The sequence below is a fragment of the Homo sapiens genome, chromosome 7 (assembly GCF_000001405.40).
Source record: "Homo sapiens chromosome 7, GRCh38.p14 Primary Assembly".
Classification (NCBI taxonomy): domain Eukaryota; kingdom Metazoa; phylum Chordata; class Mammalia; order Primates; family Hominidae; genus Homo; species Homo sapiens.
The window spans coordinates 44596709-44610137 of NC_000007.14; the positions used below are offsets into that span (position 1 = coordinate 44596709).

General features: G+C 47.0%; 1 protein-coding gene across 8 annotated transcripts in view, besides 5 other annotated features; it reads left to right on the forward strand.

Moving 5' to 3' along the window:
- Positions 9479–10078: an enhancer, noted in NCBI's record as "active region_25945". NCBI's record gives its function as "activates an Ori minimal core promoter by ATAC-STARR-seq in GM12878 lymphoblastoid cells {active_cell/tissue: GM12878}" and the evidence as "EXISTENCE:reporter gene assay evidence [ECO:0000049][PMID:35858748]".
- The window catches only part of OGDH (oxoglutarate dehydrogenase), a 102440-nt gene continuing 98929 nt past the window's right edge, over positions 9919–13429 (forward strand). For all 8 annotated transcript variants that reach the window (NM_001439009.1, XM_011515408.3, NM_001439008.1 and 5 more), the window contains exon 1: positions 9919–9945. The gene's annotated coding sequence lies outside the window, so the exon portion shown is untranslated. The remainder of the gene's footprint in view (positions 9946–13429) is intronic.
- Positions 10119–10348: a silencer, noted in NCBI's record as "silent region_18147". NCBI's record gives its function as "represses an Ori minimal core promoter by ATAC-STARR-seq in GM12878 lymphoblastoid cells {active_cell/tissue: GM12878}" and the evidence as "EXISTENCE:reporter gene assay evidence [ECO:0000049][PMID:35858748]".
- Positions 10330–10893: an enhancer, noted in NCBI's record as "H3K27ac-H3K4me1 hESC enhancer chr7:44646637-44647200 (GRCh37/hg19 assembly coordinates)". NCBI's record gives its function as "activates a minimal SCP1, AML or CMV promoter by ChIP-STARR-seq in naive H9 embryonic stem cells {active_cell/tissue: H9 hESC(naive)}" and the evidence as "EXISTENCE:reporter gene assay evidence [ECO:0000049][PMID:30033119]".
- Positions 10330–10908: a biological region, named in NCBI's record as "H3K27ac-H3K4me1 hESC enhancer GRCh37_chr7:44646637-44647200".
- Positions 10569–10908: an enhancer, noted in NCBI's record as "active region_25946". NCBI's record gives its function as "activates an Ori minimal core promoter by ATAC-STARR-seq in GM12878 lymphoblastoid cells {active_cell/tissue: GM12878}" and the evidence as "EXISTENCE:reporter gene assay evidence [ECO:0000049][PMID:35858748]".

Here is a 13429-nt window from a genome sequence, read left to right on the forward strand (position 1 = left end):
TAAAAATTAGCCGGGTGTGGTGGGGTGTGCCTGTAGTCTCAGCTACTCAGGAGACTGAGATGGGAGAATCACCTGAGCCTGGGAGGTGGAGGCTGCAGTGAGCCATGATCATGCCACTTCACTCCAGTCTGGAGGACACAGTGAGACCCCTGTCCAAAAATAAAGAGAGAGAGAGAGAGAAGGGAGGGAGGGAGGTGAGAAAGAGAGAGAGAGAAAGAAAAGAGGGGAGGGAGGGAAAGGGAGGGGAGGGAGGGAAAGGGAGGGGAGGGAGGGAAGGGGAAGGGAAGGGGGAAGGGGAGCAGACGGGAGGGGAGAGAAGACAGGAGGGGAAAGGAGGGGGGAGGGGAAGGGAGGGGAGGAGAGGGAGGGAAGGGAGGAAAGGGGGAGGGGGGAGTGGGAGGGAAAAGGAGAGGAGAGTGAGGGAAGGGAGGAGGGGGGAGAGGGGAGGGGGAGGCAGGGGGATCACCTGAGGTCAGGAGTTTGAGGCCAACCTGACCAACATGGTGAAACCCTGTCTCTAATAGAAATACAAAAATTAGCTGGACGTGGTGGCACGCGCCTGTAATCCCAGCTACGGAGGTTGAGGCAGGAAAAACGCTTGAACCTAGGAGGAAGAGGTTGCAGTGAGCCGAGATCATGCCATTGCACTCCAGCCTGGGCAACAGAGCAAGACTCCGTCTCAGAAAGAAAAAAAAAATCAATTCATGCTGGCCAGGTGCGGTGGTGCATGCCTGTGATTCCAGCACTTTGGGAGGCCAAGGCAGGGAGTGGGGGGATCACTTCAAGTCAGGAGTTCAAAACCAGCCTGGACAACACAGCAAGATATTGTGTTTACTAAAAAAAAAAAAAAAAAAAAAATTTGAGACAGTGTCTCACTGTGTCATCCTCCAGGATGGAGTGTAGTGGCATGATCACGGCTCACTGCAGCCTCGACCCCCAGGCTCTGGTGATCCTCCCATTTCAGCACCCCAAACAGCTGGGACTACAGGTCGTGCTACCAGGCCTGGCTAATTTTTGTATTTTTTTGGAAAGATGGGGTTTCACCATGTTGCCTAAGCTGATCTCAAACTCCTGAGCTCAAGAGATCCACCTACCTCAGTCACCCAGAGTGTTAGAATTATAGGCATCAGCCACCGTGCCCAGCCTAAAATTTTTTTTTTAATTAAAAAAAAAGAGGCCGGGCACGGTGGCTTATGCCTGTAATCCCAGCACTTTGGGAGGCTGAGGTGAGTGGATCACCTGAGGTCAGGAGTCCCAGACCAGCCTGGCCAACATGGTGAAACCCCTCTCCTAAAAATGCAAAAATTAGCCAGGTGTAGTGGTGGGCACCTGTAATCCCAGCAACTCAGGAGGCTGAGGCAGAAGAATCGCTTGAACCCGGGACGCGGAGGTTGCAGTGAGCCAAGACCATGCCATTGCACTCCAGCCTGGGAGACAAGAACAAAACTCCATCTCAAAAAAAAAAAAAAAATCCAGGAAGGGCACAGCATTAGGATAAATAGCCAATGCATATGGGGCTTAATAACTAGGTGATGGGTTGATAGGTGCAGCAAACCACCATGGCACACATTTACCTATATAACTAACCTGCATGTCCCGCACATGTATCCTGGAACTTAAAATAAATTAAGGCTGGGCGTGGTGACTCACGCCTGTAATCTCAGCACTTTGGGAACCCGAGACAGGTGGATCACCTGAGGTCAGGAGTTCCAGACCAGCCTGGCCAACATGGTGAAACCCTGTCTCTACTACAAGTACAAAAAAAATTAACCAGCTGTGGTGGCAGGTGCCTGTAATCCCAGCTACTCAGGAAGCTGAGGCAGGAGAATTGCTTGAACCTGGGAAGTGGAGGTTGCAGTGAGCTGAGATTGTGCCACTGCATTCCAGCCTGGGTGACAGAGCGAGACTCCATCTCAAAAAAAGAAACATAAAATGTTTAAAAATTTTTGTAAAGAAAATCAATTAATGTGATATATCATAGTAATAGAAGGGAGAAAAAACACGATTATCTCAAGTGATAAAGAAAAAGCATTTGACAAAATCCAATGCCCTTTCATGACAAAAAGAAAACATTCAGAAAACTAGGAATAGGAGGAAACTTCCTTAACATGTTAAAGGGCATCTATGAAAATCCCAGAGCAAACATCACACTCAACAGTAAAAGACTGAAAGCTTTCCCCTGATTGTTCCACCAATTAGGAACAAGACAAGGACTCCCACTTTCACCACTGCTATTCAAATTGTACTGGCTGCTCTGGCCAGGGCAATTAGATGAGAAACAGAAACCAAAGGCATCCTAACAGGAAAGGAAGAAGGAAAACTATTTCTATTGACAGATGACTAAATCTTACATATAGAAAATCTCAAAGAATCCACAAGAAGGTTACGAGAGCTAATTAACAATATCAGCAAAGTCACAGGACACAATATCAACACCCAAAAATCTATACATCAGTAATGAACAATCAGAAAAGGAAATTAAGGCCAGGCATGGTGGCTCACACCTGTAATCCCAGCACTTTGGGAGGCCAAGGCAGACGGATTGGTTGAACCCAGAAGTTCAAGAACAGTTTGGGCAACATGGAGAAACCCCATCTCTACTAAAAATAGAAAATATAGCTGGTCGTGGTGGTGTGCACCTATAATCCCAGCTACTCAGGAGGTTGAGGTGGGAGGATCACCTGACCCCGGAATGCAGAGGTTGCAGTGAGCTGAGATTGCATCAGGCCATTGCACTCCAGCCTGGGCCTCAGAACAAGACACTGTCTCAAAAAAAAAAAGAAAAGGAAATTAAGACAACAATTCCACTTACATATGCATTGGAAAATATAAAGTATCTAGGAATCAATTTAACCAAGGAGGTGAAAGACATATACATTGATAACTATAAAACATTGCTGAAAGAAATTAAAGACAATCTAAATAAATGGAAAGATCCTGTATTCATGGACTGGAAGATTTAGTATTGTTAAGATGTCAGTACTACCCAGTGATCTACAGATTCAATACAATGCCTACCTATCAAGGTCTCAACAGCTGGCCAGGCATGGTAGCTCGCGCCTGTAATCCCATCACTAGAATGCTGAGGCAACAGTATTGCTTAACAGGAGGTTGAAACCAGCCTAAGCAACATACTGAAACCCTGTCTCTATATAAAAATTTAAAAGTAGCTGGGTGTGGTGGTACATATCTGTAGTCCCAGCTACTCAGGAGGCTGAGGCAGGAGGATCACTTGAGCCCAGGAGTTCAAGGCTGCAATGAGCTATGATCCTATGATCATGCTACTGTACTCCAGCCTGGGTGACAGAGAGAAACCTAGTCTCTAAAAACAAACAAAAAACCCAACAGCCTTTTTTGCAGAAATGGAAAAGCAAATTATTAAAATCATATGAAACTGTAAGGGGCCTTGAGTAGACGAAACAATCTTGGAAAAGAACCAAGCTGAAGAACTGACATTTCCCAATTTCAAAACTTACTACAAAGGTACAGTAATCAAAACAGTGTGGTACTTAAAATGAACAGGTTTTCCTAAAAACAAACAGTGTGGTACTGGCATAAGGACAGACATACAGACCAATGGAATCGAAGTGAGAGTCCAGAAATAAACCCAGTGCTTGCTTCAGCAGCACATATACTAAAAGTGGAATGATACAGAAGTAAACCCAACATCTATGGTCAACTGATTTTCAAAAAGGGTGCAAGTCCATTCAATGGAAAAAGAATAGTCTTTTAAACAAATGGTGCTGGAACAATTGGAGTTCTACGTGTAAAAGAATGAAGTTGGTCTGGGTGCAGTGGTTCACACCTGTAATTCCAGTGCTTTGGGAGGCTAAGGCGGGAGGACTGCTTGAGCCCAGAAGTTTGAGACCAGCCTGGGCAACATAATGAGACTCTTGTCTCAAAATAAACTTAAAATAAAATAATAAAATATAGAATAAAATAAAATAGCCAGGTGTGGTGGCATGCATCTGTATTACTAGCTACTTGGGAGGCTGAGGTAGGAGGATCACCTGAGCCCAGTTCAAGGCTGCAGTGAGTTATGATCATGCCACTGTACTCCAGCCTGGGTGACAGGGAGAGACCCTGTCTTAGAAAAAAAAAAAATGAAGTTAGATCCCTACTGCACAGTCACTTATAAAAATTAACTCAAAATGGGTAAACAATCTAAATATGAGCTAAAATCATTACCTCATAGAAGAAACATAAGGGTAAATCTTCATAACCTTAGATTTGGCAATGGATTCTTAGATATGACATAAGCAACATCAAAATTAAAAACTTTCAACCTTTTGTGAGTGGTGGCTAGCACTAAGAGAAGCCAGGAAGGCCTGGGGCACACATCAAGAACACAAGGTGGTGGGGGTGTTGCCTGACCACCCCCAAAAGCTGCACACCAACCCTCTACCCCATGCGAATCTTTGAGCCTCTGGCACTTTGTATCTCAGCTGAAGAAGCCTTCAGTGGAAACTGTCTCCAGTGGGCAGGTGTTGGAGAACCCGCCCTCTTCAGGTGAAGAGTTTGGGCATCTGGCTGCACTATCCTCCAAGTGGCACCCAAAACCTGCACTGGGAACATGGGCCCTGACCTGGTGGACATCACCACCTGGTGACAGAGTGCCAGGCGCATTCCATCCAGATGAGGAAGATGAAGGAGACTGCGTCAGAAAGTGCTGCCAGTCAGCAATCAATTCCACCACTTCACTATCAAGTTCTTTCTGCCCCACCAGTCCTGCCATGCCAGCATGAGCCACACTTTGTTAACAAGAAACCCAATACCTTCTCTAGGTACAGAGTCCTCTCCACCCCCAAGACAGCCCAGATAAACTCCTTAGGAACAACAACAACAAAATTAAAAACTTTTGTTCATCAAAGGACATTGTCAAGAGATAAAGAGAGGCCTGGCACATTTGAGAGGCTGAGGTGGGAGGATCTCTTGAGGCCAGGAGTGCAAGACCAGCCAGGGCAACAAAGCAAGACCCTGTCTCTACAAAAAATAACAATATTGGCCAGGTGCGGTGGCTCACGCCTGTAATCCCAACACTTTGGGAGGCCGAGGAGGGCGGATCACGAGGTGAAGAGATCGAGACCATCCTGGCCAACATGGTGAAACACCGTCTCTACTAAAAATACAAAAATTAGCTGGGTGTGGTGGCACATGCCTGTAGTCCCAGCTACTCAGGAGGCTGAGGCAGGAGAATCGCTTTAACCCAGGAGGCAGAGGTTGCAGTGAGCCAAGATCGCACCACTGCACTCCAGCCTGGTGACAGAACGAGACTCTGTCTCAAAAAAACATAAATATATAAAATAACAATATTAGCTGGGCGTGGTGGTGTGCACCTGTGGTATGGTTCCAGCTACTCAGGAGGCTGAGGCAAGAGGATCACTTGAGCCTAGGAGATCAAGCCTGCGGTGAGCCATGATCACACACCACTGCACTCCAGCCTAGGGAACAGAGTAAGACCCTGTCTCAAAACAAGCAAACAAACAAAAAAAAAGAAATGAAAACCTACAAAATGGGAGAAAATATCTGCAAATCATATATCTGATTAGATTTAATATCCAGAATATATAAAGAACTCCTATAACAACAAGAAAACCCAATTTAAAAATGGGCAAATGACTCAAATGGACAGCTCTCTGAAGAAAATATACAAATGGACAAGCACCACATGAAAATATGCTCAACATCATTAGCCACTAGGGAAATGCAAATCAAAACCACAATGAGCCGTGGTGGCCCACACTTGCAGTCCCAGCCCAGGAGTTCAAGGCTGCAGTGATCTCTGATTGTGCTCATGCACTCCAGACTAGGTGGCAGAGTGAGACTCTACCTCTAAAAAATAATAATACTTTCTAAACCACAATGAGATACCACCTCATACCTATTTATTATAGTTGGCTGTAATAAATTTTTTTTAGAGATGGGGTCTTGCTATGTTGCCCAGCTGATCTTGAACTCCTAGCCTCAAGCAATCCTCCTGACTCAGCCTCCCAAAGTGGTGGGATTACAGGCATAAGCCACTACACCTCACCAAATTTTTTTGGTTGGGGAGTGGGGAGGTGGGGGAACAGGGTCTTGCTCTGTGCCCAGGCTAGAGTTCTGTGGCATGATCATAGCTCACTGCAACCTCAAGCTCCTGGGCTCAAGCAATCCTACTGTCCCAGCGTTCCAAATAGGTAGGACTACAGGCATGTGTCACCACTCCTAATTTTTTTTTTTTGGAGAGACAAAGTCTCACTATGTTGCTCAGGCTGATAATCCTCCTACTTTGGCCTCTGAAAGTGCTGGGATTACAGGAGTGAGGCATCATGACTGACCGATAGTAATTTTTTTAAAAATAGAGACAGTAAAAAAAAAAAATAGAGACAGACCTGTAATCTCAACACTATGGGAGGCTGAGGCAGCAGGATCGCTTGAGGCCAGGACTTCGAGACCAGCCTGGGCAACACAGCAAGATCCTGTCTCTACAAAAAACAGAAAAAATTAGCCTAGCCTGGTTGTGCATGCCCATTGTCCCAGCTACTCAGGAGCGTGAGCTGAGAGGATCACTTGAGCCCCGGAGGTTGAGGCTGCAGTGAGCTGTGATCACACTACTGCACTCCAACCTGACACCTTGTCTCAAAAACAAACAAACAAAAAAGGTGCGGTCACTGTGGGAATTTATCACTTCCTGAAAAAGCTAGACAGAATTCCCATATAACTCAGAAATTACACTCCCAGGTATACAGGCAAAAGAATTATAAACAGGTGTAACCACAGGACCAGTTGAATCTGATTCAGTTTTTTTTTTTTTTTTTTTTTTTGAGATGGAGTTTTGTTCTTCTTGCCCAGGTTGGAGTGCAAAGGAGCGGTTTTGGCTCACTGCAACCTCCGGCTCCCGAGTTCAAACGATTCTCCTGCCTCAGCCTCCCAAGTAGCTGGGATTACAGGCACCCACCACCAGCCTGGCTAATTTTTTTGTATTTTTAGTAGAGATGGGGGTTTCGCCCTGCTGGCCAGGCTGGTCTTGAACTCCTGACCTCGGGTGATCCACCCACCTCAGTCTCCCACAGTGCTGGGATTACAGGTGTGAGCCATTGTGCCCAGCCTGGTTCAACTTTTATCAGTAACAAAATGATGAGTTGTTTTTCAGTTACAATAGATCCCCAGGCTGCAAGTCACGTAACCTAAGTATGCCCAGATGAACAAAGTGTGCCTGATAGCTGACCCTGGTGTCGGTGGGAACACAAAAGTCAACCACAGGCAGGACTTAACCACTCAAATGGAGGAATGGACACCAAATTAGGAAGCATGGGGCGCCTTGTTTTGCTGCAATATGAACTTAAAAGCCAAAGATCCAGCATTGCCCCTTTGCATGACCCAAACAGATCACACCTTGTTGTATTTTCCCATCTCCCTCATAGTTGCCTTCTGCCTATAAAACCTGCCCCCAGATTCCATCTTGGGGAGACAAATTTGAGTATTGCCTCTGGTTTCCCTGCTGGTCGACCTTACGATAAAGCCTTTTCTCAAAAGGTGATGACATAGTATTGGCTTCTATGTGCATCTAGCAGTGAGCCCACTGCTTGGTACCACAATGGGCTCAAACATTTATAAGCCAATGTTCATTGCAACATTATTCAAAACAGCAAAAAAGCAGAAATAACCAAGTGTCCATCAATAGATGAATAAATAAACAAAATGTGGTATATACATACAATGGAATATTATTCAGCCATAAAAAGAAATGAAGTTCTGGCCAGGCATGGGGGCTCATGCCTGTAATCCCAGCACTTTGGGAGGTCGAGGTGGGTGGATCACTTGAGGTCAAGAGTTCAAGACCAGCCTGGCCAACATGGTGAAACCCCATCGCTACTAAAAATACAAAATAAGCTGGGCGTAGTGGCGGGCGCTTATAATCCCAGCTACTTGAGAGGCTGAGGCAGGAGAATTGCTTGAATCTACAAGGCAGAGGTTGCAGTGAGCCGAGATGACACCACTGCACTCCAGCCTGGGCAACAAGAACGAAACACCATCTCAAAAATAAAAAAAGAAAGAAAGAAAAAGAAAAAAATATTAGCCAGGCATGGTGGAGCGTGCCAGTAGTCCCAGCTACTTGGGAGGCTGAGGCATCAGAATCACTTGAACCTGGGTGGCAGAGATTGCAGTGAGCTGAGATGGCACCACTGCCCTCCAGCCTGAAACCGAGGGAGATCCTGTCTCAAAAAAAAAAAAAAGAAATGAAGTTCTGACCCATGCTACAACACAGATAAACCTTGACAACCTCATGCTCAATGAAATAAGGTGGACACAAAAGGACATATACATTATGATTTCACCCACATAAAGTAATTGAGTAATCAAATGTATAGAGACCGTATAATAGAGGTTACCAAAGGAGAGAAGGACAGGAGGAGAAGGGGAAATAGGAAGTTATTGCTTAATGGTTACAGAGTTGCTGTTTCAGGTGATGAAAAAGTTTTGGAAATTGAGTGGTGACGGTTGCATAATATTGTGAATGTAATTAATGCCACTGAGTTATACACCTAAAAATGGTTAAAATGGCATTAAAAAAAAAAAGACAGTATCTTGCTCTCTGGCCCAGGCTGGAGTGCAGTGGTACAATCATAGCTCACTGCAGCCTCAATCTCTCAGGCTCAAGAGATCCTCCTGCCTCAGCCTCCCAATTAGCTGAGACTACAGGTGAGTGCCACTACACCTGGCTAATTTTCTTGATTTTTTAGTAGAAATGAGATCTTGCTCTGTTCCCCAGGCTGATCTGGAACTCCTGAGCTCAAGCGATCCTCCCGCCTCCACCTCCCGAAGTGCTGGGATTACAAGCGTGAGCCACTGCACCCAGCTGCAAATGTTTAGTACATACATTTTTACCGTAATTTATTTAAAAAAAAAAAAGGAAAAAAGAATACAGAAGTTTGTTCCTTGGTCTCTTCACCTCTTCCAGTCTCTAGATCCTTGTCACATACATTACCCTAACTTTGTTCTATAATAAGCACTTATACGCCCCCTTTTTTTGTTTGTTTTTTGAGACGGATTTTCGCTCTTGTTGCCCAGGCTGGAGTGCAATGGCACGATCTCGGCACACCGCAACCTCCGTCTCCCGGGTTCTAGCGACTCTCCTGCCTCAGCCTCCCGAGTAGCTGGGATCGCCACCACGCCCAGCTAATTTTTGTATTTTTAGTAGAGACGGGGTTTCCCCATGTTGGTCAAGCTGGTCTCGAACTCCTGACCTCAAGTGATCCGCCCGCTTCGGCCTCCCAAAGTACTGGGATTACAGGCGTGAGCCACCGCGCCCGGCCTTTCCCCAAATTTTAATACTTTAAAATAGGGAACATCTTACAATCAACAGGTTGTGACAGGTTAATTAGCCACGTTTTATCTTTGATAGGTAGCTCTAAAGTCAAGAAAACCCAGGCAAGATCCCGGGCAAGATCCCAGCACTGCCAACTGTCATTTGTAGACCGGGGATAGGAACACCTGTCTCACAGATTGTTACACAATAGCGCCGGTGAAGCGCTTGTCACAAAGCCTGACCCAGGACAATCTCAAAAACGGAGATTCTGTTATTCAAATTGTTTATTTTTGTGCGCTAAGTTTCACATCAACCCAACTATCTCTTGATAGGTTCCTACCAGGCGCTAGAGATATCTTACTTTCAGAAATTATTTATGATAGCAGAAGCCGCTGGAAGTCCATAGACAACCTCATCTCTCTAGCGGAGCAAACAGCTGGGCTCCAGCTGGCCCTGGCTTCTGCAACTGCGCAGTCGGCGCTGTGACGCCCGGCGCGGCTCTGTGACGTCACGAATCGGTCCTCTGTAAGAGGGGAGGGCATTCTTCTCCAGGGGAGGGCTACGTGTTGACGCCATACGCCGGGGCGGGGCCGAGAGTTTGGAGCCCCGGAGTGGGGTGTCGGCGCCTCATTCGGGTGGAGCTGAGCCGGAGACAGGTAACCGTGCGCTGTCGCCGCGCCCGTCCCAGTGCCGGGTGTCGCGGCGCTTGGCGGCCCGGGGTTGGAGATCGCGGTAAAGGGGGAGGCCGCCGCGCCCTTGGTGCTGCGGGCGCCGCGGTGACAGGGGAGTGGAGCTGGATGGAGTGGGGCTCACGGAGGGTGGTAGGAGGGACGGGACCTGATGGATGGCCGTGGCAGCCAATGGAGCCGCGGGGCCTGCCCGGCGGGCGGAGATTGGCGGGTACGGGCGGGCTCCGAGGTCGCGCGGGGCGCGGAGCGACGCGCCATTGGCGGTGGGCGAGCGGGGGGCGGGCGCGGCGGCGGATGTGAGGGAGAGGGCGGTGCGTCCGCAGGGGTGACCCCCAAGGTCGCCGCGGGCGTCACGTGGTTAGGCCGCTCTCCGACGGCGTCCTTCCCGACCGGGACGCACTCTCCTTCCCGCCTGTGAGGACCGCGTCGCTTTGTCCGAAAGACAGTGTGGCCTGCTCGAGTTGCGTCGGAGCATCTGGCTTTGGGGTGGCCCTGGGTGGGACTGCCTGTTTGGATTACCGCGCAGACCTTGGCGCCGCCCCCACACCTGCTGCCAGAAGTTGGGTCGAACAGATTGACCGAGATGAAGCTTATTTCTCGTAGAAACATCTTTCAAGCACCATTTTCCCTCGAAAATATATCAGACATTGGATATGAGTTGTAATCTACTGAGATTTAATAGAAAACTTGCCGCGCCCTCGCCCTGACCTGGGTGCGTCCCACCTGCCATCCCCATCCCTTTGCCCAGAACATAGGACTTCGTGTTAGGGTTTCCTTGTGCCTTGTCTTGCAGTCCGTACTTTGAGGCTGATTTCCAGGTACACTGCTCTGAACAGCTGGGTTTAGGATGGGTGGCATGGGATAAAGCCTTTTTTTGTAAGGCAGCACTAGTTGCAACAGTCAAACTGTACTTTGCCGTGTAGACCTAGGAGAGTATGTAACACTATTGTAGTTTTGTAAATTAGCTGAGGACTGGATCTTGGGAAGTTGAATAAAGATCACTGTATGCTCATTTTTTGTTGTTGTTGTCTTGTTTGAGATGGAGTCTCTGTCGCCCAGGCTGGAGTGCTGTGGCGCGATCTCGGCTCACTGCAACCTCTGCCTTCCTGGGTTCAAGTGATTCTCCTGCCTCAGCCTCCCAAGTAGCTGATATTACAGGCACGCGCCATCACGCCCGGCTAATTTTTGTATTTTTAGTAGAGACGGGTTTTCACCACCTTGGCCAGGCTATTCTCGAACTCCTGACCTCAGGTGATCCGCCCGCCTCGGCCCCCAAAGTGCTGGGATTACAGGCGTGAGCCACTGCGCCCGGCCCCTCATTATTTTTTTTAAGCGCACTTTTCACATTTCAGTTACTTTTTCCCTTTAAATAACATCTTTATTGAGATAAAATTCACATACCATACGATTCACCCATTTGACGTGCACAATTTCGGCCAGTCGTGGTGGCTCACGTTTGTAATCCCCACACTTTGGGAGTGTGAAAGGAAGATCCCTTGAGCTCAGTTCAAGGAGACCAGCCTGAGCAACCAAAGTGATACCCGGCGTCTACAAAAAATAAAATTATCCGGATATGGTGGCATATACCACATATACTTGTAGTCGCAACTACTCAGGAGGCTGAGGCGGGAGGATGGCATGAGCCAGGGAGGTCCAAGCTGCAGTGAGCCATTATTGCCCCACTGCACTCTAGCCTGGGTGACACAGTGAGATCCTGTCTCAAAAAAAAAGGCCGGGCGCAGTGGCTCACGCCTGTAATCCTAGCACTTTGGGAGGCCGAGGTGGGTGGATCCCCTGAGGTTGGGAGTTTGAGACCAGCCTGGCCAACATGGTGAAACCCTGTCTCTACTAAAAATACAAAAGTTAGCAGGGCATGGTGGCGTGGGCCTGTAGTCTCAGCTACAGGCTGAGCTCCTCCAGCCTCAGCAGGAGGCTGAGGCAGGAGAATCGCTTGAACGCAGGAGGCAGAGGTTGCAGCGAGTCGAGATGGCGCCACGGCACTACAGCCTGAGCGACAGAGCAAGACTCCATCTCAAAAAAAAAAGGAAAGAAAAAACTACAGTATCATCTACTTTTTAGATTTTTAGGTAATTTTTGAGATCATTGTACAAATTATTGAGAAATTCATTTTGAAAACAGTAAAATTTTAAGAAATTGTACATAAAAATTTATTCTATGCAGTCATAATAAATAGTACAGAGAGATCCTGTGTTCCTTTCCCACTTCTCTAACATTGTGCAAAACTATAGTAAATATCACAGCCAGATATTGACATTAATAAAATTCAAGATACAGAATATTCCCGTCATCACAAGGATCCCTTCCATTGCTTTTTTATAGCCACACCCACATTCCTCCCATTCCCAGTCCTTCAACTCCTGGTAACCACTAATCTGTTCTTCATTTCCCTAATTTTGGCATGTCAAGAATGCCAAATAAAAGGATTCATAGAGCCTTTTGGGATTGGTTTTTTCCAGTCAGCTTAATTCCCTGGAGAATCATCCAGGTTGTTGCGTGTTATGGGTAGTTCATTCCTTGGCCAGGCGCAGTGGCTTACGCCTGTAATCCTAGCAACTTTGGGAGGCTGAGGCAGGCAGATCGCTTGAGCCCCAGGAGTTCGAGTCTGAGGAACATAGTGAGACCTCGTCTCTACAAAAAAAAAAAAAAAAAAAAATTAGCCAGGCGCAGTGGTGTGTTCCTGTAATCCCAGCTACTCAGGAAGCTGAGGTGGGAGGATCGCTTGAGCCTAGGCTGTGGTGGCTGCGGTGAGCCGAGATCGCGCCACTGCACTCCAGCATGAGTGACAGAGTGAGACCCTGTCTCAAAAAAAAAAAAAAAAAGGTACTTCATTCCTTTTTATTGAAGCCGGGCTATTGGGCTATGGATGTACCACATTTGGTTTATTCATCCATTAAAAGACATCTTTACTGTTTCCATTCTTTGGCTATTACAAATAAAGCTGCTACAAACCTTCATGTACAGATTTTTATTTGAACATAAATTGACATTTCTCCAAGATAAATGCCCAGGAATACAATCACTAAGTCGTAGTGCGTGCTTAGTTATTAAACAAATAGCCAAACTGTTTTCCAGAGTGATTGTACTATTTTACATTCCCACCGGCACTGTATGGTCTTGTTTCTCCACATACTTGCCAGCATTTGGTGATGTTACTTTTTTTATTATAGCCATTCCAATAAATGTGTAGTAATGTCTCTTTGTGGTTGTAATTTGCATTTTTCTGATGGCTAATGATGTTGAACATCTTTTCATGTGCTTATTTGCCATCTGTCTATTCTCTCTTTTTTTGGAAGAGATGGGATCTTGCTATGTTGCCCAGGCTGGTCTTGAACTCCTGGGATCAAGTGATCCTCCTGTCTTAGCCTCCCAAAGGCTAGGATTTCAGGCATGAGCCACCATGCCTGGCCCCTGTATACTCTCGGGTGAAATG